We start from the raw sequence: 27,261 nt of genomic DNA, 5'->3' as shown, positions 1-27,261 counted from the left end.
TGTCACCTCTTAGGTCTAACTGCTTCTCTGCCCCTTCACTTTTCTAGGAAGGCCCCTGTATATATACATGATAAACCTTTCCTCCTGCTAATCTGTCTTTTGTCAGTCTAATTTGCAGGGCCCCAGATACTGAACCTAAGAAGGTAAAGGAAAACATTTTTTTCTTCCCCCACAGTGGTATATGCATACCATGAACTATTATTACTTAGCATTTCAAAGGATGGAAATTCTGACATATGCTATACTATGCATGAACCTTGTGGACATTATGCTAAGTGAAATAAGCCAGTTACAATAAGATGAATACTATAAAATTCCACTGGTGGGAGTGTCTAAAATAGTCAAATTTATAGGGACAGAAAGTAGAATGGTGGTTGTCAGGCACTAGGGGGATGGGGAAATGAGAAGTTGTGTAATAGCCATAGAAGTTCAGTTTTGCAAGGCGAGAATGTTCTGGAGATTAGTTATCTAGGGGCCAAGGGAAAAGTTCCCCTTCTCCCTATGAAGTTTCACTGAAAAATCAACTCACAAAAGGCAGACTAGTAGGAGAAATAACATACAAATGCATTTAATGTGTACATGGGAACCTTCAGAATGAAGACAGAGGAAAGTGCACATTTTTATGCTTAGGTTCAAAAAGTATGTAGAGCTGTTTAGAAATATGACTGGACAAAAGGGTATGATGTAACTTTAACAGATGGAGTGAGGAAACCCAGCAAGGCCTGTCTGTCTAGATTCTTCTTGGCCTCTCTGAGCAGCATTTCTTCCTTCTGCGTATGGGACAGGACCCTTTCTGGAATGGGGGTCTTATGACCTACAATCAAACAAGGTAGGTCCGATCATTTCCTTATGACCAGTTTTTATACAGAATGTAAACCAAAAGTATATGAGACAGGTCCCGATCAATGTAGAAAGTTTACTTTGCCAAGGTTAAGGACACACCCATGACACAGCCTCAAGAGGCCCTGCCTATGTGCCTAAGGTGGTCAGGCCACGACTTTGTTTTATACATTTTAGGGAAACATGAGACATCAATCAATACATGTAAGATGTACATTGGTTTGGTCCAGAAAGGTGGGACCACTCAAAGTGGGGACTTCCAGGTCACAGGGAGATTTAAAGATTTTCTGATTTGCAATTGGTTGAAAGAGTTATTATCAATAGAAAGGAATGTCTGGGTTATGATAAAGGATTGTGGAGACGAAGGTTTTATCGTGCAGGTTAAGCCTTCAGAGAGAACAGATTGTAAATGTTTCTTATCAGACTTAAGGAGTCTGTTCTATCAACAATTCTAAAAGGAAGAGGGTACAATGAGGCATGTCTGGCTCCCCCTTCCCATCATGGCCTGAGCTTGTTTTTCAGGTTAACTTTGGGATGCCCTTGCCAAGAGGAGGAGTCTGTTCAGATGGTTGGAGTACTTAGAATTTTATTTTTGGTTTACAAGAAAGGCGGATGAAAAGTTTGATAATATTTTTAGGTTTTATAGCTGGCTTTCGGGAAAAGGGGTTCTGGTTTCTAGGACCCACGTGGGGAAGAGGGATTCTAGTTTCTATGGCTGCCCTCGGGGAAGAGTGGGACTGAGAGACAGGAGGCGAGCAGGAGAAGGTCAGAGAAAACCTTTTGCTTCTCAGGCTGCTTCTGAGGCCTTCATTTTAGGGTGTTGTTTTCCATGTCCCAACAGTGACACAACAGTGTGAATGTACTTAAAACTACTGAACTGTAGGTTTAAAAATGGTTATGATGGTAAATTCTGTGTTATGTGTGTATTATCACACTTGGTTTTTTTTTTTTTTTTTTTGAGATGGAGTCTCGCTCTGTCGCCCAGGCTGGAGTGCAGTGGCGCTATCTTGGCTCACTGCAAGCTCCGCCTCCCAGGTTCACGCCATTCTCCTGCCTCAGCCTCCTGAGTAGCTGAGACTACAGGCGCCCACCACCGTGCCCGGCTAATTTTTTGTATTTTCAGTGGAGACAGGGTTTCACCGCGTTAGCCAGGATGGTCTCGACCTGCTGACCTCGTGATCCGCCCGCCTTGGCCTCCCAAAGTGCTGGGATTACAGACATGAGCCACCACGCCCGGCCATTATTACCACAGTTTTTTAAAACCTATTTTAAAAAGACCACGAAACACTTTAAACATTAAAAATAATCAAATATTTTTTTAATTGCTTATTTAAATAGACTTATGATGGCTTTTCAACCTACACAGTTGTTGAGTTTTTTGTTGTTGTTTGTCTGTTTGTTTATTTAGTAGAGATGGGGGTTCACCCTGTTGGCCAGGCTGGTCTCGAACTCCTGACCTCAAGTGATCCACCTGCCTCTGCCTCCCAAAGTGCTGGGATTACAAGTGCGAGCCACCATGCCTGGCTCATTCAACTTATACAGTTGTTTTTAAAATAAAAAATACATAAGCCAGGCACAGTGTTGCACACCTGTAGTCCTGATTACTCAGAGGTTGAGGTGGGAAGATTGCTTGAGCCCAGGAGTTCAAGGTCAACCTGGGCAACATGGTGAAACCTCTTCTCTAAAATAAAATATATGTAATAAAAAATTTAGGCTGGGCACTGTGTCTTGCATCTGTAATCCCAGCACTCTGGGAGACCCAAGGCAGGTGGACCACTCGAGCCCAGGAGTTCAAGACCAGCCTGGGCAACATGGCAAAACTCCATCTTTACAAAAAACACAAAATTAGCCAGGCATGGGGGCATGTGCCTGCAGTCCCAGCTACTTGGGAGGCTAAGGCAGGAGGATCGCTTGAGCTCACTGGAGGTTGCAGTGAGCTGAGATCACACCACTGCACTCCAGCCTGGGTGACAGAGCAAGACTCTGTCTCAAAAAAAAATTTTTTTAAGACTATAGGTATTTTCATTATTTTTCTCATGACTCTTCTCATCCTTCTGATATTTGTACCTCAATCCTCAGACCACTGTCCCTGTCTATTCTATTTGGGTAACAACCAGTAAGTGGACATTTACAAATTTCCTAGTTTTTACTGGGGATGACAGTCCCCAATGCTAAGTTGCATCGCCTTTTACCTGCCTGACTGGTATACTAAAAAATCAACTCTCAGTTGTTATAGGTAATCATCATGATTAATAGAAAATATGTTACTCTTTTCACCTGTTCTGCAGATAGGACAAAGTAGGTGCAGAATCGTTAATTCACCTGAACAAGTCATAGCAAAGGTCTCAAATGAGGGCTTGTGCAGGGTCAGCTTTCTGGGCTTGAGACCTGTACAGTCACATAGGTTGCCACATTTAGAGGAGCTCCATGCTTGTTTGATGTTCTCTGTTATCATCTTGACATTTTTAATATATATATATTTTAACAAAAGGCCCCATATTTCCTTTTTGCACTGGGCCCTGCGAATTATCTTGCTGGTCCAGGACTTAGGTCACTGATCTCAAAATATGATGTTCTAGGCTCAGCAGTGGGAAGGGTCGTACAAGTAAAGAAGCATTATCCCTTTTATTCAAGATTCAGCGTAGCTATTTTATACACAATGGTCATACTGATTTTGCTGTAGAGCACTGCAATACTAACACTAGAATCCACCATTTAAAAGGGAAGCTAGAGCCCTCAATAGTTACATCCACGTTTCAGAGAGAAATCCCCACAAAGACGGATATAATTTTCTCATAAATATTTACAAGTTTTAAATAGTTGGATGTTAGTCACCCCATTTATCTTGGTGTTTCCTTGTGAATGAAGCCCATCCAACGTCGACATCGTATTGAGAAAAATCTGTGAAGCTAATGAAGAAAGAAGAATCAAGAGTGCCAAAAATAAATGTTTCCATCCTGAGCCAAAGAATGAATCACTTGTGCATTCATATGTTATAGAAAATGTGATTCCTTTTTTCCAGTTTTACAAGGCCAACACCTATCAGCAACACAAATTCTGACTTTTACTGACTTAGACTAGGTCTCAAAAGCCATAAAAAGGCCGTTCATGGAAATGAACAAAGAATGTATTTGTATCTTTATCTGAGAAGTCATGCCAGAATCCCTTTCAAATCAGCAGGGTAACATTTGGTTTTACATTTGTATGTTTTAGTGAGTTTTATAAACCCTGAAGCTAACCGATTTTTCTTGTAAAGTAGAGAAGTAAACTGATTTTGGGAGAGACGCCTGGGGATATAGCAGAGCTGAAATGTTTGTGCCTTGTTTATTAAACATGATCATCCTCACCAGAAATTACCATAGCATCAGGTTTCCCAGAAGGTTCTGAGGGCCAGAGTTTGTGCTTCACTTCTTCCTTATTCCTAAGGCAACTAACACGATGCTAGCATGTGAGAAGCACCCAGCAAACCCTCTCTTCACCCTCTCTCCAATTTTGGCCTCTCGTGGGAAAACCCCCTCCTTGCCCATGATGTTTCACCCACATCTGTCTTGACTGGGCAATGCCCCCATGCAGCCAACTTTTCATATTCTCTCTTTCACACTTTCATTATAATGTATTTGTCCTTGGTCCAACTGCCTTTGATTTCTAAGATAAAAATGATTTGAAAACTAACTCAGTCTTAAGTTTTGAAGAATTAACAGCGTAGTACAAGACCTCTGTTCTCCTTTAGGTAATTTTTTTTTTTACAATAACAATGATATTTTAAGGCAGTGGCCACTGGAATTAATCTAAAAGTTGAAATGTCTTATTAGGCAATGGGGATTTTGAAACACTTCTGAGTCTCATCATTTAGGTTGCAGTCTATGGAGAGGACTGGCTCTTTCTAAAAGATATTCATTCATTCATTTAATCATCAAACATATCCTGAAGACTTACTCTGTGCCAGGGACTGCTGTGGGTGCTGGGATGCAACACTGAACGGGATGACCAGGACCCTATTCTCATGGCATTCACATTCTGAGGTGGCAGGAATGTATAAATAAGGAGAAAATATGTAATAATAGTAAATGGTATGACGAAGATAAGACAGAGATGTGCAAGGAAATGACAGCTGGGGTGCAGGAACTGGGGGCTACATCTAAGTGGTCAAAGGTCTCTCAAAGAGGATGGCATTGAAGTTGAAACCCGAATAAGAAGGAACCAGACATGGGACGACTTAGGAGAAGAATGTGTCTGGCACAGGGCAGAGCTTGTGCAAAGGCCCTTGGGTGAGAGGCAGATCTGTGTGTTCAGGGCACGTGTGGCTATAACATAGTGTTACCAAGGGATGAGAGGCAGGCGGGGATAGTTCATATAGCGTCTCAGAGGCCAGGAAGGAAGAGGCTTTGGGTTTGATTCTGAGTGTGACTAGAAGCCCCTGGAGTGAAAAGAACATGTTCTGATTATGTTTTAAAACACCCCTCTGGCATTTGAGCTATAACTAGACTACAGGTGCCAGAGAGGAAGCAGGGAGGGGATTAGGAGAGAAACGATGGTATCTCGGACCAAGATGGCAGCAGTGGAGGTGTCACAAACAGCATTAGGAGGTATCTTGGTGATGGAGTTAACAGAACTTCCTGATGTATTGCATTGGTTGGGGTGGGTGGAGAGTCAAAGACTCCTGGGGTTTTGGTTTGAGTAACAGTGTAAGGTGGTTTCATTTCCTGCGACAGAAAAGCTGGGGGTGGAGGGGACTGAGTGGAAGGGGTTTGAGGGGAAAATTAAAAAAGGCATTTAAAAATCCCCTTTTTAAGTCAGGAAACAACAGAAGCTGGAGAGGATGTGAAGAAATAGGAATGCTTTTATACTGTTGGTGGGAGTGTAAATTAGTTCAACCATTGTGAAAGACAGTGTGGCAATTCCTCAAGGATCTAGAACTAGAAGTACCATTTGACCCAGCCATCCCATTACTGGGTATATATCCAAAGGATTATAAATCATGCTACTATAAAGACACATGCACACATATGTTTATTGCGGCACTATTCACAATAGCAAAGACTTGGAACCAACCCAAATGTCCATCAATAATAGACTGGATTAAGAAAATGTGGCACATGTATACCATGGAATACTTTGCAGCCATAAAAAAGGATGAGTTTTTGTCCTTTGCAGGGACATGGATGAAGCTGGAAACTATCATTCTCAGCAAACTATCACAAGGACAGAAAACCAAACACCACATGTTCTCACTCATAGGTGGGAACTGAACAATGAGAACACTTGGACACAGGGCGGGGAACATCACACACTGGGGCCTGTCAGGGGGTGGGTGGCTGGGGGAGGGACAGCATTAGGAGAAATACCTAATGTAAATGATGAGTTGATGGGTGCAGCAAACCAACATGGCACATATATACCTATGTAACAAACCTGCACATTGTGCACATGTACCCTAGAACTTAAAGTATAATAATAATAATAATAATCCCCTTTTTAGTATCTAACATCCAATTAAAAGAGGAGTCATGGCTCAATCCTCAAGAAAGAAACATGATTATATGGAGTCTTTGCCTTATGTGGACACAGTATGCATTTTGGAAGGAAAAGTCAGTCTTCTGGGAAAGTGTGGAAAATCCAAATTGGACAGAACTCATTGAAAAAGGCAAGATTTCAGTCACTGGAGCTGTATTTCTCAACTGCATTTTGGAAACTTTTGCCAGCACATTCTTAAGACAGGGAGCTCAGAAGGGAATTTGAATCATGGAGATGCTACTAAAGGAACAGTATGGTGCCCCCTTAGCTGAATAAAGAATCACCAGAGAGCTGTGTCCATGACCACTTTTTTTTTTTTTTTCTGAGAATCACTGCTTGGTCACAGCACATCACAGACACCATTTCTGGAATACAGGTTTGAGGATACCATGTCAGCAGCTTCAAGAAGAGACCTTCTTGCCAGGACACAAAATGATGCTCTCCTCTGGGAACCTGCTTTGAATAGTGGGATTCAAGGACATGAGACCTTCTTGCTGGATTTTTATGATACAATCTCTACGATTTTACAAATAAAGGAATAAAACCCAGATAAGATGATGTCTACCCTTCCTCGGGGTGGTCTGCTGATTGTCTGGTGATGGCGTCAGGGCAGCCAAAGACAGGATAAAGGCCGAGGAGGGTGTTTGTGCCCTTATGTTATTAGCACCATTGTTCATAGGACTTGTGAGAGGATTCTGGAACCAATAAAGGGGTAGAAACAGTACCTGATTCATAGGTGAACTGGAACAAACAGGAATTTACCAGACCTGTGTTGAAGCTAAGCCATATTTATCGCAATGTTTAAGATTCTCAGAAATCACATTTTATGTCTATCCATAAGTAAAATGGAACTGCCATTAATAGAGCTTTTACAACGTAACATGTGAACTGTGATTTGGTGCTCTGAAAAAACACGGAAGAGTGGGAAGGAAGGTTCTAACCTTGGCTCCTGATAACTTGTTCTATGTGTGGAGCAAATCATTAACCTGTCTGTTTTTTACTGGGCAAATGGGGATAATCAAGCACAGGTCCTTCGGCCAATGGGTTGTGATGATTAAACAAGGTAATTTTGTGCAAGGAGTCCAGGTTTTGGAGTCAGACAGACCTAGGTTTGAATCCAAGTGCTGGTGATGGCAGCAGTGGCCTGTGTGGAGTGGCTGCTGCCATGATGCCAGCTGTAGTGGGGGAGGCGTGGCTGGGGCAGCAGGCTCCATGGAGCCAGTGGGAGCCGGGAACAGACCCTTCCAAGTTGGCGGGATGGGATCCCTGCCCTCCTGGGTGCAGCTGCAGCTGCCCAGCCCTGGCTACAGACCCTGGCATCCCTGCACTCTTGGGGCCCAGGAATTCCCCCTGCCCCTGCAGACTCAGAGGTGACTGCTCCCACTGTCTAACCTCTCCCTGCTCCTGGCACCTGCTCCGATTTTGGAGCAAACTGTGGCCAAACCTGGGTGCTGACATGACTTGGCCAAGTGTGCATGCTCTGAGGCACTGACATGCCAGCACCCTGCCACCTAGGACCCCTCCACACTTTGGGCACTGACGAGCATGGAAAGCAGTGTAGGCCTGCAGGAGCCCCTTAGCAGGAACAGCCTGGGCACTGTGGGTGCCGTGGAGGGCAGGTTGATGGTGGCAGGAGGCAGACAGGCTCCTGGGTGGAAAGGGGCAGGTACTCAGTGAAGCCCCACCTCCAAGCTGGGGACGGCCTGAAGCCTGGGGGCTCGGCTTTCAGTTCTGCAGACTGGAATGAGAACTTATGGTGCTTTTTCTTGGACACCCATGGCCACCCATGGACCAATCCATACACACTTTCTCCCCTCTAAAGCCTGTATAAACCCCAGACTCAGCCAGACTCAGGCAGACATGGGATGACCTGCCTGAGGATAGGAGCTACCTGCTCTGGGTCTCCTCTCAGCTGAGGGCTGCACAGACCTCAGGACAACCTGTCTGCGGATAGGAGCTACCCACTTTGGGCCTCCTCAAGAACTGTTCTGCTGCTCAGTGAAGCTCCTCTCTCCCTTGCTCATCCTCCAGTTGTTTGAGTACCTCATTCTTTCTGGATGCAGCACAAGAACTCAGGACCCACCAAGTGGCAGGACTAAAAGAGGTATAAATTAAACAGGGCTGAAACATGCCCCCCCCACCCCCACACACACTCACCATGTTGTAAGCAACAAGAAGAAGAGAAGAGCTGCGGCCCTTTGGGGAGCACAGACCTGGGGGCTCCTGAACCCAGGGCTGTGACACCCACGGTTCTGTGGTCCTGGCATTTCTAAGCTTCCATTGACTGGACTTCTACTACGCACCAGGCAGCATGCTGAGTACTTTGTTTTACAAATTTTTTTAAATGAGCTTCGTAAAGATTTAAAATTATATCCACAATCACTAAGCGAGTAGGTGTCAGTGTCCTGGGATCCTTAGGGGTGTCACTTTTCCAGCTGGAAGCCTCTGTGGCTGGCGGCACCTTTGCCTGAGTTTTACTCGGGCCTCCTGGGCTCGTTCTGCCCACTCGGCCCAGCAGGCTGTGCTCAGCTTGTGCTACTGGCCCGGATTCCACACCTGCCAAACATGAGCCAGATGTGGAGCAGCAAGGGGTGTGTGGGCAAGCAAGCGCAGGGTCCAGCCACTGCACACAGCCAGGCATGCAGGCTGCTACTGCAGGGCAGGCAGCTCCAGGCACCAGCACAGGTGCTGGCTCCATGTGAGGCTGTGGCTGGACCAGACGTACTGCACATGGCTTCTGCTGCAGACACCTGTGTCTGGATGAGGGGACTTTTCATCTGTACTTTTCAACTGTAATGTAAGGTGGTATTACTGTTTGAAAATTAGATGGCAGTAGTTTGCATTTCTCATGATCAGAAGCCAAGATATAAACACACACTACCTAAGAAAGCTAAAAAAAAATTGCTTTTTTAAAATGTTGAGTTTGAGAGGCCTATTAAACATCCAAGTAGAAATGTCAAGTGAGCATTGAGATATGTCAATCTGGGGCACAGAGGAGAGGTCAGGGATGAAAATTGAAATCAGGGGTCACTGGCACATAGATGGGAGTTAAAGCCAAGGGGCTGGATGAGATTATCTAAGGAGAGGGGTACACAGAGAAGGCAAAGAGCCAAGAAGGCCCTCACTTGGGGAAGGAGAGAAGTCAGCAAAGGAGCCTGAGAGAGATAAAAATCCAGACTGTGTGTGTCTCAGAAGCCAAGAGAGGGTAGTGCTTCAAGGAGAGGGAGTGTAAACTATGCCCAGTACTGATGAGAGGCTGCCGCAGAGGCAGACAAAATACGTGCTCCTTGGAGGTCTTTGGCAACCTTTATAGGGCAGTTTCAGAGAGATGGGAACAGAGTGAGGGGACTGAAGGAATGTATGTCATACGCTTCCAGGTTGGGCAATACCCCCAAAGCCATGCTAGACTAGCAGTATATGATGTTCTTAAAAGTTTTTATTTATTTTTCTAAATGATGTGGCACAGAGAAAATACACAACAAAAACATTTCATGACATTTCTATCACCACCTACAAAGCTGGTAAATCTTGAAATGCCATGAAGGAGCTCCTAAATTAACCAGCATGAATAACTTTATGGGGTGGCTCTCCAAGACATCATGAAGGAATAACTAATAAAAGCAATTGTAAAAAAAGCCTAACAAAAATAGAAAATCTGGCTGGGAATAACTCACGCCTGATGGATTTCTATGTTGTAATGCTGACAAAGCCACCATAAACACACAGCAACGACTTCTGTGGTGAAGGCATTGATATTATAACCCATCCCACAACTAGCAAAACATTTGTCTAGAATTGTGACAGACTTTTATTTCACTTGTCACAAAGTGCAACTGGAATCATATCATGTTCCATTTGATTCAACGAATATTTTTATTGAGCAGATAGTAAACAGAAGAGGCTGTGCCTGCCACTGAAGGAGACACACAGATGAGTCACAAGTAGCCCTTGTCACCAACAAGAACTCTCTCTGCCTCCAGGCTGCACCACCATCAGGGCAGGGACTGAGCTTGTCTGGATTGCCACTGTTACATAGCACCTGGGCAGAGAAGGCACTCATGGGGCAATGTTTGTGAATGAATAAATGAATTCAAAACAGAGAATGATAAGTATATCAAGTACATAGTAGGTATTTTGTAAATTATGGAATAAACATCTTAGAAGATGTTACAAAATAAGGAAAAAATAAATACAGGGATATAGGACTGTCAGAAAAGATTATTGAAGAGATTGTGGCTTCTGAAATAGGCCCTGAAAGCTAGATAGAATTCCAACAGAAGAGTCAGGAGGAAGAATATTCCATGCACGGAAATATGAAAGAACTGCTGCTGTAAGATTTTTAACCACAAAAGGAAATCCTTGGGTTCTTCCATTCCTGCTTAAAAAAAAAAAGAGAGAGAAAAAACATACCTGCTGAAGGAGGCTCACCGTTACCGGGGCACGTGAAGTGTACTACCTTGAGCTCCTTTCTAATATCGAGCCAAGTATTCCGTAGGAGCAATGGGTATGAATGTCCCGTGCTGGCTCCCACAGTTATAACTTACATGGAAGGCTGTTCTCTGTGAACCAGTACCTGCCTTCCTGGCCTGACATTACCTTCTTGGGAAACAGTGATTTTGGTTAGGTCACCTGTAAATTTTGGATGAAAATATCCTACCATTCACCCTTAGCCAGAATCACACAGATAGGCCAGGGTGTAACATAGGCAACAGAGCTCAAGCCTCATGTTCTCCAGATCCACCTGTAGGCACAGGGGAGGGATACATGGTTGGCCACAAAGGGTTTCTCTTTCTACTTACTTCTGTGAAGAAACTCAGGCGGGCATCAAAGACATCTGCAGAACCAATCAACAAAATGAAACCTCCATGGAATCATGCCCTGTCCTCCATCTTCCCAACAATTTGGAGAAGACAGAGATCCTGTGGGAGGCATGAAAAGATTATAAATAAGACATACAAGGGGAAAGTCTCTATCTCTTCTCTCTTTAGCTGGTGCTGTACCTCAGAAATGTCCCAGATAGGTGCTGGGATGAGGGGAGGGAGGTGGGCAGAGCCAGCTTCATAGGTGTGGGGCCTGCCCGATCACTCAGAGCCCTCTGCTTAGAAGGGTCCCATGCTTTTAGTGCACTGCTGTCCCCATCTTGAAATTTTTAATAATTTCATTTTGCACTGGGTCCCACAGATCATGTAGCCCGTCCTGGAGATGGGGGGCTGGCAAGACATAGCCTTCAGAGAAAAGAAAGTTCAGGCTAGACTCTCACCTGGGCTTTAAACTTCTCTTTCTCTGGCCAAGTACTCTCAATGCCAGAACAAAGTAACCTCATACTGGCTAACCTGGGTCTAAGGGAAGAGCAGGGACCAGCTCTCCCCAGTGGAGGCATTTCCTTGAAGGCCCATATTTTATCCTAAGCAAAAACCCAAAACATATTTGCATTCTGTTCTATGAAATATCTATTAGATACATTTTTAAAATAAGATAGGCTTTCCCTCAAAAAAGCAATCTTTAAGTAGCATTGATGCTTCAAGAGGATATACCCTTATTATCACTTGGATATGAAGTCCTTCTGGCCCCCAGATAATCTCAAATGCCATAGCACAACATGGCATAGCACAACATGTCCCGGAGAGGAGAGAGGAAACTCCAATTCAGCAAAAACCCACACACGGATTGCAGCTTCCTCCCTCCCCTCACATGGTTTCCCATGGCCTTCACTGGCACATTGTGTAACTGATGGCATCTGGCTCCTTCCTTTCTGCCCTTTGTCCTTTTCCTCTTCTTAGGAAGTCATGTTTACTTGCTAGAACACTGCCCTAAAATAGCCTTATATTTCCATTCCCAGTCCAGGGTGTGCTCACAGCCAGTCTAGGTTATTCCATGAGGCCCCCGGGCTCCTGGTTGCTCTGCTCCCTGGGCTCTGGCACCTCCCAGTTTCCATGCCTCCTCCCTGCTCTGGACATACGACCCACTCGCTGGTGGTGGGGGCTGGCACGGCCAGCACTTGGCATCTGCAATATGAACCCTAACGATGATGAGAACCTCCAGGCTTTCCCTTGCCTATCAGCTTTGCACACATAATACCCTCTTCCTAAAATGACAGAAGATTCCCATCTGTCCCTGGGGCTCAGTGTAGATGCCACTTCCTCTGGGAATCCTTCCTTGACATACTCCTCTCCCCTACTCACCACCAAGATGAAGCTAGTCCTCCCATCCTACTCCTTCTTTTCCTTGTAGGAATACTTACCACACTGTACTTACCACACTCTAGTTAACTTGCCTGTATCCCCAGCTAAACCCTAAGCATGATCAGGTCAGGGATATGCTTGCCTTGTTCTTCAATGTATTCCCAAAACCTGAAAGCCTCAAAAACATTGTTGAATGCTGTTGAAGTTTGAGCATTGTTAAGTGATTTTTATTTATTATATCACAACAATCCTAAAAGGAAAGGATTAGTGTTCTCATTTAACACTTGAGGAAAGTAAGGCTCGGAGAGGTTGAGTGAGTTTCCTAAGATCACACAGTTGTAAGTGGTACAGCCAGGCTGTCAGACTTTAAAGTCCATATGTTTCATTCCATGTTCCAAAATTCAATCAGAGAAGCAGAACCACTAGGAGTGATATAGACTAATGGATTTGTTTTAAGGATTGGACCTTATGCAATTGTGGGAGATCATTAAAAGCTCTATGCTATGGCTTCTGCACCCGGTGCTTGGGTCTGCAGTCTGCAGGGAAGGTAGTTGGCAAGGAAAGATGGACATGAAGTTGGAGAAGGTAAAGACAAACTGGAGCCTGTGGGGAAGAGCTGGGCCTCCAGACAGACTGGAACCCATGATGGTATCTCCCTACCTCCAGGCCTACCACTTCCACGTGAGGATCACTTTGAAGAACAGCGGCACCTTAGTCAGGAGTAAATACACACCTGGCCTGGGGGTCGCGGAAGCTGAAGGAGCAATCTGGCAGGCTCTATAAGGGCTGGTGGACCCAGCTGCTGCCTCATGCCTGTCAGGTGAGCCAGCAGAGAAGCAACAATGTATGTGAGCTACAGTGGCTCTAATGCCCTGGACTGACCTTCTGAGCATAAAAAGAATAGGCACTTAACTCCCACCTTCCAAATCTTGGACAAAGCTTCTGCTGTGGCCCAATCAATCCACAACCATGCTGGGAAAAAAATTCAGGGAAACCCAGTTCCAGTTTAGCTAAATTGATACAATATAAATCTATTTCCCTTTCTCTCCTACTTGCTTTACTGTTACAAATTACAAAATAAGATTTCCATTTCCTGAAACCCAAGATTTATAACACTAATATATAACATAATGTAGTATATTAATTATTTCCTACCTTTTTCAATACCCTGTTGGCGCGCATTGGGCGAATGAAGATATACCTTAGTGGTATATCTTCTTGAAGCATCAATGCTACTTTATATTAATTATTTACCACCTTTCAAAACCTTTTTCTACACAGCAGTTATTCACCTTCTTTTAGAACATGCACCTTAATTTCCCTCTGAGGAACCAGCCCTGCCTCCACTCTTAGTCAATATGGTTTAGGTGTAGCTGTCTGCCCCCTCACTCCAGGCATGAGCACGTGAACAAGGCCCAAGCACACTGCATCCTCTGGCCTCAGAGGATGGCTCAGGCACAGGTGCATAATCTTCATTCGCCCAATGCAAGCCAACAAGACCTAGCTGAAGCTTTGATTTGACTTAAAGGGAAGCAGACTCTTCCAGGTCTTGACCTGGAGATGAGAGGCTGTCTGAGAATGGAGCAAACACAGTGAATGCAACACTGATTATGAAATGAGAGAAACCAGGTCTGGGTGCCATCATTTGAGTCCCTGGGCATGTCGTTCTGAAGCCAGCCTCACCTGCAATTTTCCATTGCTGTACCTCAACTGTGTTCGCTTGCTTGTGCACCACAAGCATGATCCATAATTCAACAACCTAATACACCTTCTTTGAAAACCTACTGCACAACCTCCATTGATAATAGCAACATTTACTGAATGCCAGACACATTGTTGAGTGCTTTATGTGAACAATCTCATTTAACCCTCTCAAACTCCTTATGAGGTAGGTGCTATCAATTATCCACATTTCTAAAGAAGAAACTGAAGCTTACAGGAGTTAATGCCAGGAAGAGGATGAAGGTGGTAAGTGGTGAATTCCTAATTACAACTTTAAACACCAAACCACAGTCATGTTGGCACTCAGAATTTGAATCCTTATCTACTGGGCTCCAGAATCTGTACTTTTTAATTTATTTACTTATTTCTGAGACAGGGTTTTGCTCCGTTGCTTAGACTAAAGTGCTGTGGTACAATCACGGCTTACTGCAGCCTTGACCTCCCGGGCTCAAGCGATCCTCTTGCCTCAGCCCCCTGAGTAGCTGGGACCACAGGTGTGTGCCACCATGCCCAACTAATTTTTGTATTTTTTGTACAGATGAGCTTTCGCCATGTTGGCTAGGCTGGTATTGAACTTCTAGACTCAAGTGATCCACCCACCTCAGCCTCCCAAAGTGCTAGGATTACAGGTGTGAGCCCAGAATCTGTACTTCTAACAACAAAAATAGTTTCTAATACATACAAAATACTTGATAGGCCTGATGGAGGATAAAGGAATTAATAAAGTATATTTTGTGTCCTCCGGGAGCTTACCATTTAGTGGAGGAAATATGTATTCCCACAAATAACTGTGGGGCACCAAGTTATGAGTACTTTTACCTCCACTCCAATCTGCCACTGGCTACTGAGCAATGGTCCAAGGTTAGAGCATCATATTTAGCCATAGTATACATTGGCATGCTTACTGGGTTGTGTGGCAGCAATAAATGGCAACTGAACCAAAAGATGCAGGAGTCTAGCAAGACTTTTTACTTCTGGAGCAATTTCAGGCTTCCAAATCCTTACTGAATTACCCTTAATTGCAATTTCTCGTATTACTGAGATGATGAGAGTCTAATCATTGAGACTATTTCCTCCTAACTTTGTTGCTATATGCAGGCAACCAAGCTTCATTCTGACTGGGGGTTACGCTAACTTGGATTTTAAAACCCAATTCTGCAGTTCAAGAGAGATGATAAATGGAGTAGAGGGACCTCCTCCCTACCCTCCCCCCAAAACCCCCAAAGCCTTCCCAACTCCCTATATACTCTAAAAGACAGACACTAGAAACTAAACAACACATAATCTGATGGGCTGATCAATAATGCATTGGTTTTATTACCTGAATATTTTGGGGTTACTTTTTCATGTCAGTCTCTCATGTCAAAAATTCTCATTTCCCTAATGCCTACCCCCTCAGGCCCTCATCTCTCTTCCATCTTCCTCACGAATGATAATTTAAGGTCATAAAACAGATAGCTTCACACTTTCAATATAAACTCCAAAAAATAAATTGTTAGCGGTATTTATCTGACCCCTATATTCTAGCTATTATAGTCAGATAATAAAATCCAGGGTGCTCGAGGGAACAGATCAAGGGGACAGTTAGAAAACTTAAGCTTCAGTGTTTCTGTTGACTCTAGAAAGGCAAAACTAAAATAACTCATCTGTAGCCTGAATATCATTCCCAATAGGAGTTAGATAAAAGCCTATCTTGGCAAAGCTCAAAGTCCTTAAAGTTTGGGTCTTATTTGTTTGTTTGTTAGACTATTTTGGATCTTGAGAGTTTGCTTTGGGATGGGGAACAGCTATTAGAGCTGTTTGGCGAGTGGGTATGCTAGAAATGGGTTGAAATTATGACATTAGTATAAATTTTTATAAAAATCTAATTTCTAGACTGGGCAACATAGCAAGACCTTGTCTCTACTAAAATAAAAAAAAATTTTAAAAAAGCTGGCCATGGTGGCACACACCTGTAGTCCCAGCTACTTCGGGGGCTGAGGCAGTAGGAGCCCTTAAGCCTGGGAAGTCAAGGTTGCAGTCAGCCCTGATTGTGCAACTGCATTCCAGCCTGGGCAACAGAACAAGACCCTGTCTCAAAAAAAATAATAATAAATAAAATTAGTCATTATATAAAAATTCTTTCTTTTCTTTTTTTTTTTTTGAGACAGAGTCTTACTCTGTTGCCCAGGCTGGAGTGCAATGGCGCGATCTCAGCTCACTGCAAGCTCCGCCTCCCAGGTTCAAGTGATTCTTCTGCCTCAGCCTCCTGAGTAGCTGGGATTACAGGTGCATGCCACCATGCCTGGCTATTTTTCATATTTTTAGTAGAGATATGGTTTTGCCATGTTGGCCAGGCTGGTCTTGAACTCCTGATTTCAGGTGATCTATGTGTCTTGGCCTCCCAAAGTGCTGGGATTACAGGCATGAGCCATTGCACCCGGCCTCAAAATTATTTCTAATGTGTGCAAAGATATCTGATAAAAACTACATGACTATGTAAAATAAAACATACTATTTCCTCTGCCTGGACTTTCTATTTCTTCACCCTTCAAGTTACAGCTTAAACAGATCCATCTTCTGGAAGCTTTTTTGAACTCCACTTAACTCCATTTCAACTCAATGAGCACCTTCTGTGCTCTTGAATGCAGGTTTCTGATGACTTTGGAGGTTGTGCCACTGGAATAGAGGGAAAAAACTTCTAGGACTTTCATGGAGAGCTTATGTGTTCATGAATATTGAGCAGAACAGGAGTTATTTGCATGGACTGAGCAAACAGAAGACCAAAATAATCTTTTTATGATTTTTTGCTTAAAACGTTGCTTATTCTTTGTGTTTTTCAGAGTCAAGAAAACTTTTTTATTTGGAGCTATTTACAGCTTTTAACAACTGAGTAAAATACACTCCAGTGAGCAAATTTTGGAGCGCATTTCTTTCTCTCTACCTTATTTCTCTGTAATTTGGAAACTATGTCTACGTATACTTAATTTATGGTAGTATCGCTATTTGCATAAGTTCAGTAAGCATCTGTTTTCTTTTGTAACAGGACACTATTAGAGACACTAGTTATTTTACCAAGGCTTTGACTGGAATGACATGTTTTCAGACTTTTCAGACTGCTTTGAGGAATTGAGGTTGAGCTACAGAGCTGATAAAAATTCCTTGGAAAAACTGGCCACCTTGTTTTTACAAGGTTCCCAACCTGTGGTAAGTAAAAATGTCCCTTTCTGATAGGCCTAGGAATCCCAAGTTATTTTGGTACCTCTAGAAATGAGGAATTCATTCAATTCATACAGGTATCTGCAGGCACAAATAAATCTTTGGCTGGGCTCAAGATGCTTTTAAAAGGTCTAATCTGAGATTCCTTATTAAAAAAACATCCAGCAAAGCCAATTTTTTAAAAAGGCCTATATAGCAAATAATTATTCATGTTATGTTTCATGCAAACAATTAGGCCTAGTATAAATAAAACCAAAGCTTATTTTGCAAATAAATTGGTCCTGCTATGATTTGTCTTTGGTAAAAATGGGGGAAAACTGGAGAGGGAAAAATTATGTTTCAAAAAAAACCTATAGCATGCCTGTTATTAGATTCTAGCCTTGGCTGGGCACAGTGGCTCACACCTGTAATCCCAACATTTTGAGAGGCCGAGGCAGGAGGATGAATCACTTGAGCCCAGAAGTTCGAGACCAGCCTGGGCAACATAGGGAGACCCCATCTCTACAAAAAATTATTTAAAAATTAGCTGGGTGTGGTGGTGCACACCTGTAGTCCCAGCTACTTGGAAGGCTGAGATGGCAGGATCACTTTAGCCCTAGAGGTCGAGGCTTCAGTGAGCTCTGATCATGCCACTGCACTCCAGCCTGGGCAACAGAGTGAGACACTGTCTCAAAAAAAAAAAAAAAAAAAAAAAAGAAAGAAAGAAAAGAAAAGAAAAAAATTCTAGCCTTGTCCATTGTTTGTGAGCCTATACTAATGACTCACATCTGATTGGTTCTTGGGGATATTTACCTGAATCCCTCAAGGCTTCAGATCAGTTCTGCAAGGACTCCTGAAGCTAAGACTTTCACACCTTGCATTAGGTCTCTTGTAGTTTACTGTTCTCTTAAGTGCTATACTAACGATGTGGATAAGAATACTAACGTTTTTGTTATACCAACATTGGGGACCCAACAAGGCACCTGGGAATACATACAGACAACTGCAAAATGGTTTCACTCCTCTTACCTTGGGGGCAACCCTTGCCCCAACTATACCCCCTGTCAACAGGAAGAGCAGTTGTCAGCCTTTTCCCATCTCCCCAGCTCACACCTCAGGATTGAGGTGTGCTGAAGCACAAGGGAGGGAACTGAAACCACCTTTGCAAAGATTATGACAGCAAGAAAAGTCTAACTTGACTGACTCCATCTTGCTTCTAGTCTCACAGGCTGGCTGTCTTTGCTAATTCCTGGGGGCACAAAGAGCTAACCATGGGAGGGATTTAGTTTATAGTTTCACTTGGAAGCAAGGATGATAACAGTCCCTCCCTAAAACTAATCTCCTCCTTGCTTAGAGAGTGAAAACTAATGAAAGGCCACAAGATTAGGGTTATTGGAGGGACCTGAATTCTGCTAAAGTATAGGTATACTTTTATAATCCCTTACTGCTCAGGAGTCATGTGGCCAGAGGTCACAAGATTTGTGACTTCCCCAATTGCTCTTATAGATAACATCACTACTGTAGAACTTAAGATTGGTCTCTTGAGATGTTTTTCAGATTTTTGTATTCTGGCCATCAACTGATCCTACCTGGACTCATGACTCATGACTCAACTGGTCCTGTGGCCCCCACCCAGAGGCAGACTCAGCTCACTGGGACAGTTTTCCACACCCCTATGATTTTTTTCCCAACTAATCAGCAGTACCCATTACCTAGTCCCCGCCCACCAAACTATCTTTAAAAATCCTAACGTCTGAGTTCTCAGAAAGACTGATTTGAGTGGTAACTCCAGTCTTTCTGCTCTGCTGCCTTGTCACTTCTTTATTGTAATTTAAAAAAAAAAAACAAAAAACAAGGTGAAGGAGCCAGGCATGGTGTCTCATGCCTATCATTCCTGTATTTTGGGAGGCTGAGCTGGGCGGATGACTTGAAGCCAAGAGTTTGAGACCATCCTGTGCAACGAAGTGAGGCCCCATATCTACAAAAAATAAATTATCTGGGTGTTGTGGCATGTGTCTGTAGTCCCAACTGCTCAGAAGGCTGAGATGGGAGGATTGCTTAAGCCCAGAAGTTCAAGGCTTCAGTGAGCTATGATTATACCACTGCACTCCAGCCTGGGCAACAGAGCAAGAAACTGTCTAAAAAGAAAAAAAGTAAGTACGTTCTGATAGTATGTCTCATAATATCCTGTAATTTTCTTTCTGTAATAGGCATCAAAATGGCAACTGAGTGACTGCTTATCTCTGTATCATCTTTCCCAATACAATATGAACTCTATCAAAGTGAGGACTATGTTTCTCTTTTACACCATGGTATTCATAGTGCTTAGCATATTATTAGATGTTCATTAAATAATTATCAACAGAAGGAATGAATGAACCAATTAATCATGAGTCATGAGGAGACAAAAGAATTTGTTTGGCTATTGTCTGAGTATATTTATAATTTGACTTTCCAGAGGTCATTGTTGAATAGATATGATGTATGCTGTTTTCAAAAGGGTCATTGAAAAGTAAATGATTAGATGAACTTACAAATTATTAACTATCTTCAAACAGTCTCTTTGTCACTCTGCTATATATACATTTTTCCCTTCTTCCCACACTCCCCCTGCCTTTCTTTCTGCTACAGGTACAGGGTATTAACAAAGATGGCAGATTCTTTCTCAAATATACAGTTTTTAAAAAAAAAAAAATCCAGAAATGGTTTTCTCGACATTTGAAACAAAGCTAGAAAAGAAATAAATTTCAGTAAGTATATTGTTTCCTAAGAGACAAGAGTATGACTTTCATCTGCTGTTATGTCAGATTGTTTGATATCACACAATCCAGATTAAATGCAGCTAAATAGGACTGTCTTTGCTTTGGAAATCGGCCTTATTAGAGCCAAGAAGCTTTCTTGCAAATCTATAATATAAACAAAGTATAGTAGGAGAAGTAAGCATTATTTTGCACTCAAAGACCATGAGTTTAAGAGAAAAAGTCACTATTGTAACAATTGCTTTGTAATTGTAAATTATCACAAATTTATGGTTGATAAAGGTCTATTCCACTATTGCAAATATGTTGGAAGGAGCTGGGATGTGGAAATAAATAAGATAAATATAAACATATACTATCTGTTGTATCCCTTTCTGTCTTGTTCATCTTCACTAGATGGTAATAATAATAAAAATGAATTCAGCTTGGGACTTATAAAGCATTTATAACAGGCCAGACACTGTTTGTTCTAAACTCTTTGTATATGTTAACTCATTTAATATATGCAACCCTGTAAGGTCACTATAATCCTCTAAGATCAATACCATGAGTTAGCCCAGTTTACAGAAAAGGACATGAATGCACCAAGAGGTGCAGTGACTTGCTCAGGGCACACAGTAAGCGACAGAGCTGGGGTTTAAGCTAAGATGGTGTGGTTCCACAGACCTTACTTTTAATAATTTACTATTTTAGTTATTACATATAATCTCTTGATGCTATATTCTTCCTAGAATAACACTTATAAATCAGCAAGCATGCACTGAGCTCTGACCTAGATGCCATGGGGGAAACAAAAAATGACACCATTTGATGCTTCACTCACTCTATTTGGGGTGTCTTCCTGAACTGAAATTAATTTCAAACGTTTAGATTTTTCCTGACATTGTTTCTCAGCTGATGTGTTAGGGCATACTGGAGTGTCAAACTTTGATCTGATTACATTTTAATTTTGCTTCACCAACAGTAGATAGAATGTGAAGCTAAGAAGGTCATGCTGTGCAGTACAGAATGTGGTACAAACCACTAGGGGATAAGACACAAGAAGCAGAAAGTAATATTATGCCAGCTCCCCAAGAAAGATCACAGGTTTCTTTGAACATGTGAAATTCTTTAGTGGAGATTTTTGGCTCTTGTAGAATGTAAGCTACCTAAGGGCAGAGATTTGTTCTGTCTTGTTTACAGTCGTATTCCCTAGGAGCAAGTGCAGTGCCTGACACAGAGTAAACAATAAATAATTGATAAGGAAATGAATGAATAATTAAAAATCAGAGAGTGGGGCAAAGCAGAAATAGGTTTACTCTCACAGTGACATAGTGCCAACAAGGGACAATAGTGTGATAACGGTGCATGATTTTATAGTCATTGCTGTGTATTTTTATATTCTTCCTATGGTACGCTTTTTGATTATGTAGATAGCATTTTTTTAGTCCTTTTCTTTCTTTGTGCCATGAAAAATTCTAGGATTCAGAAATTTATCACGAACACAAATGTGTATACAAATCCTTTCTAAATCTCTCAAAGGAATACTAATGCATTTACAGTTGCACATCCAAAATAAAAGAACTACTCTGTTTGGTTTTTGATAGACAACTTGCATAACAAACAGAAAACACAGCCACAATTTCTAGAGAAATGCTTATTAAAAAGACATACAGTTCTAAAAAACAAAGTCTACTAATAAAAAAATAAAGGAACAATTTTTAAAAGATGCACAGCCAAGACTACAGAGTCCTTGTTTTAAACAGAGAATGCTTGAGTTGAGACATATTCTTTCAATCTCTGAGTCCCACTGTTTAGACATCACCCGTGGTAGTTTAGGGAAAGGATCATCTTGGACCTTAACAAAAACCATCCAGCTTTTCACTAACAATTTTCTTATCTCTAGCTATAAATAGCAATCTTTCCTTTCTGAAGAATTGCAAGGTCACTTTCCTTTTTTATCAAAAACAAACAAATCCGGTTTTGCTGGGGGTACTGATCTGAGTTGGGGGAGCTACTTTGAAGGAGGTAGGTTTAGTACTGGGGGAGGTACCAGGAGATCCCAGCTTAAGATAAATGCCCAAACTCCCTCAGATACATGAGAAGCAGCAGACAATAGAAAGAATCATTGAGCAGCATTAGTATAAGGCATTATATTCTACTTGTGAAATTTCAAGAAAATGTGTCTTTAAGGCCTAGGCAGGCAGATCACTTGAGGCCAGAAGTTCGAGACCAGCCTGGGCAACATGGTGAGACTCTGTATCTACAAAAAATACACAAAAAAATAGCCATGCGTGGTGGTACACACCTGTAGTCCCAGCTACCCGGGAGGCTCAGGTGGGAGGATTACTTAAGCCTGGGAGGTTAAGGCTACAGTGAGCTGTGATCACGTCACTGCACTCCAGCCTGGGCAACAGAGCCAGACCCTGTCTCAAAAACAAACAAACAAACAAAAAACAAAATAATGTAAAATAAGTTTTACCTTATTGGGCGAGTTATTTCTGAGCGACCATTTGATGCTTCACTCACACTATTTGGGGTGACTTCCTGAACTGAAATTAATTTCAAATGTTTAGATTTTTCCTGACATTGTTTCTCAGCTGATGTGTTAGCTTTATATACACACACACACACACACACACACACACACACACGTACTCAGCACATCTTCAAATTACTTCTGTAGCACAAAAACACACAAATTGACCAATGGAACAGAAATAAGCCAGTCACAAAAAGACAAATATTGCATGATTCCACTTATATTAGGAATCTAAACTAGTCAGACTTTTAGAAAGAATGTTGGTAGCCAGGAGCAGGAGAGAGAGAGAAAAGGTGGGTTGTTGTTCAGTGGGTATAGAGTTTCAGTTTTGCAAGGTTTGAAAAAGTTCTAGAGCTCTATTGCACAACAGTGTGCATAGAGTTAACACAACTGCACTGTACACTTAGAAACAGTTAAGATGGTAATTTTATATGTTTTATAGCACAATAATTTAAAAAATATAGGAAGGACATGGTCTCAGAATAAAGGGCCATCTTTTATCATAAAGAAAAATTTGCAACCCAATTCCAACATGTTAAGGTGTTCTCTTCTTGTTGTTTCATTGAGAACTGCTAAAAGTCTCAGTGCCCTTCTCATTTGGATGGTGGTCCTACTCAAACGTTTGGAGACCAAAGCCCCATTTGGTAATAAGAAGGATGTGTTGCCTGGCCTGGTGCTCTGGGCATATACACTTCAGGAGAACCTTTCGTAGGTAGGGGTTAAGGATTGGAATCTGTCCTGACAGAACAATGTCTTCACACAATTAACACATAGTTCACATACTAGATGAAAACAAATTCCAAGTGGACTACAAATATAAATCTGGGGGAGGGAGAGAGGGATGAATAGGTGGAGCACAGGGGATCACTAGGGCCATGAAATTATTCTGTATGATACTGTAATGTTGGATACATGCCATTATACATTTGTAAAAACTCATAGCATATGCAATATAAACTATAGATTTAGTTAATAATAATGTGTCAATATTGGCTCATCAATTTTAACAGATGTGACACGCTAACGCCAAGATGTTAATAATAAGGGAAACTGTGTATGTGGGTAGGGCAGGAAAAGGGTATATGGGAACCCTATACTTTCTGTTCAATTTTTCTGCAAATCTCAAACTGCTCTAAAAAAATTAATTTTAAAAAATGAGATGAAAGAAGAAAAATGAAAAAATAAAAATACCAAAGAAATAAAAATAGAAGAAAATATAAATTAATTTATAATTTAAGAATAAACTTTCTAAGAATATATCAAAAAACTATGAATCCAGAAGGAAAAGACTAATACACAACCAGAAAAATGAGCAAAAGCTATTAATAGACTATTTTTTAAAAGAAGAACAATAAATGTTCAATAAGACTATGAGAGAAATGTTCAGTCACATTAATACTAAAACTTAAAATTATGAGATTTCATTTTTATCTATGAAATTGGCAAACATTTTTAAAAGAGATAATAGTAATCATGAGGAGCCAAACAGGCATTTTCACATATCACCAGTGAGGACTGTAAATTGGAATGACCTTTGGTCAGAAAAAATTTTTCAAAACTTGGAAAGCAAAATATGATTGCATAATTTGTTTTCATGTTAGGCATTGCCTAACCAGTCCATCTAAGGTGAATTGAATCCTGACTCGTTATTACAGATTTGCACATTTTACAACTGTAAATTCAAATGTTAGTTTGTAGAAAATTGGTGAGATGCTATATTTTTGTCCAATGGAGATATAATTTCTGTCCTGCACAGATGAAAATAATTTTGCTCTGTAAAGATAGCACCAAACATTATGGTTTATCACCCTGTAAGACATTAATCAGATTTATATCTAATTTAGCAATAATGTAGAATGATTTTAGTATTCTTTTTTATATATTTATGTATATATATAGGATGTATATTTACATATGTATATTATATATAGTATGTATATACATAATATAAATACAATATGTATATAGGTATGTGTACACATAATACATATACTATATGTATATATGTACATAATATACATAAGTATATACATCATATACATATATGATGTCTATATGTATAGACATCATATACATTATGGGATGTACATACATATATACATAACATATACATATATTATGTATATATTATTATAGATATATGTACATATATACATACATATATGTATGTAGTAAATGTATATATAGATACATATGTGTATACATATATAGATGTATGTACATATATCTATGTATATACTTATAGATGTATGTACATAATATCTATATATATACTTACAGATATATTTATATAATATCTATATACTTACATATATGTACTATGTATATTTAGATATATACACATATTTATACATATATGCATATACACATATACATATATATGTATGTACATATATAAATAGATATACATAATATATGTATATACACATATAGATATATATGTACACATATAGATATACGTGTGTGTGTGTGTGTATACACACATATTTTCTCATGTCTTTCTTTGAACTGGCTTTGTTATCCTGCTGGTTTCCTCATTAATAAGTTAAAATTAAAACTTGAACTGTGCTTACTCTATATTTGTATGAGAATACTTTTTAACATTTTTTAAATTATACATTTGACATTTTATAGGAGTATAACTTGGCCAAATATTTTAAGTCTTAAAAGTGTACATGCTTTTTAACCTAGCAATTACATGTCTAAGAAATGATCCTAAGGAGGTAAGGACATGCTCAAAGGTTTAGCTCTGAGAATGTTTCTAGATGTGCTGTGTATAATAAAGAAATACCAGAAACAAATGTGCCACATTAGGGCGCTGGTTAATACCTAAATGTGTGTGTGTTTGTTTGATTGTTTTGGGGTTTGGGGATTTTTTTTTTTTAAGACAGAGTCTCATTCTGTCACCCAGAATGGAGTGCCATGCGATCATGGCTCACTGCAACCTCAAACCCCTGGGGTCAAGCAATCCTCCTGCCCCAGCCTCCTCAGTAGCTGGGACTACCTTGCCCCATCCCTAAATGTGTTTTAAGAATGGTTGTTTCCAGGTAAGTAAAATTTGTAAGTTTAAAATTTTTCTTTTATCTTGTTCAGATTTTCTTGTGACACTTTCAAAGAAAAAAGTTTGAAAGTCACAAAGTCTAGTTATACTGTTCTCATTCTTGTTGACATCTATTGAGGTACTTAGCCCCGACTATAGTTATTCCCTCTGTCCCAATTCCTGCTACTATCTTAGGGAAATTCAGAGTCCTTAAACAGAACCAATCCAACACTCTGGCTTTTTCATTCCTTAATTTCCCATTTCCAGTGATCTTTACCTCCTCTTCACTTTTGTAATTCACTCTAAGATATTTTGATCCTGTTTTCATTCAGAATTAGTCATTGGTCCTCTCTAACACTTTTGTGCTTTTTCCTCTGCTTTGCTTTTAAATTAAAATGCCTTCATTGTTTTTCCAATTTAAAAAAGCAATGCATGTTTGGTGGAAAAACTTTTCAGAAAATACAGAAAGATGTAAAAAAGAAAATTAAAACATTGCAACTCGTGGATTTGCACTCAGCATGTTGGTAACCTTAGAAACACATTGCTGGGAATAGTTTTTTTTTGTTTGCTTTATCTAAATGAGATCTTACTATTTATTTTACTTTTATTATCTGCTTCTTGCCTGAACAATTTGTCTTTCCAAGTGAATAAATGCAGATCTACATTGACATTATTATGGCTGAAAAACAATTAATTGTACAGCTATAATATTCTTTAACCCAGGGTGTCTTAACTTCAGCACTATTGACATTTTGGGCTGAATAATTCTTTGTTGTGGGAGGCTGTGTTGTGCACTGAAGGATATTTAATGCCTCCCTGCCCTCTGTATCAGCACTAGATGCCAGTAGCTCCCATCCCTAGTTATGACAATCAAAAATGTCTCAAGATATTGCCAAATGTCTGCTGTGGGCACTACTGCCTCAAGTTGAGAACCACTGATCTAACCAATCTGCTGTTGTTTGACATTTAGGTTTTATCTACTTTGTCACAATTTAAAGCAGCAGCACTTATGAAGCTCCTAACATATACAAACTCAACACATCTTCAAATTACTTCTATAGCATAAATTTCTAGCAAGGAATGGCACATACAAAATTTTGATGTCTATTCCCAGATTTCCCTCCAGAAAGATTGTATTAATTTAGAACACCATTGAAACAGCATAAATGTCATTTCCTGAGATCCTGTCTACTTCCAGGTATTGTCAATCTTTTTAATCTTGCTTTGTGATAAGCAAAACAAAGTATTACTTTACCCTTTTAACTTGTAATTCTTTGATTGCTTACCAGGTTGGTAACCTTTACTATATTTATTAGCTATTTGTGTTACTGCTTTTATGAACTGCTTATTCATCTCCTTTGCTCATTCTTTATTTTGTAAGAGCATTAATTCCTTCTTCCAGCTTGTAATTTTTCTCATAACCTGATTTAAACCTTTCTTCTTATAACCTTTATAAGGTTTTCTGTACAGAAGTCATACATTTGTATGTTTTCAAATTATTAGCCT

At 40.7% G+C, this 27,261-nt stretch overlaps 1 protein-coding gene and 1 pseudogene across 5 annotated transcripts in view; both read left to right on the top strand.

Annotated features, from left to right (window-relative positions):
- The first annotated feature begins 528 nt into the window (after nucleotides 1–528).
- Nucleotides 529–27,261, top strand: part of CPM (carboxypeptidase M) — a 121,273-nt gene continuing 94,540 nt past the window's right edge. For all 5 annotated transcript variants that reach the window (NM_001413398.1, NM_001413393.1, NM_001874.5 and 2 more), the window contains exon 1: nucleotides 529–829. The gene's annotated coding sequence lies outside the window, so the exon portion shown is untranslated. The remainder of the gene's footprint in view (nucleotides 830–27,261) is intronic.
- Nucleotides 6,314–7,482, top strand: PRELID2P1 (PRELI domain containing 2 pseudogene 1; annotated as a pseudogene).

Source organism: Homo sapiens, chromosome 12, assembly GCF_000001405.40.
Source record: "Homo sapiens chromosome 12, GRCh38.p14 Primary Assembly".
Lineage (NCBI taxonomy): Eukaryota > Metazoa > Chordata > Mammalia > Primates > Hominidae > Homo > Homo sapiens.
The sequence above is the reverse complement of the archived record's forward strand: the minus strand, read 5'-3'. Positions and strand labels throughout refer to the sequence as shown.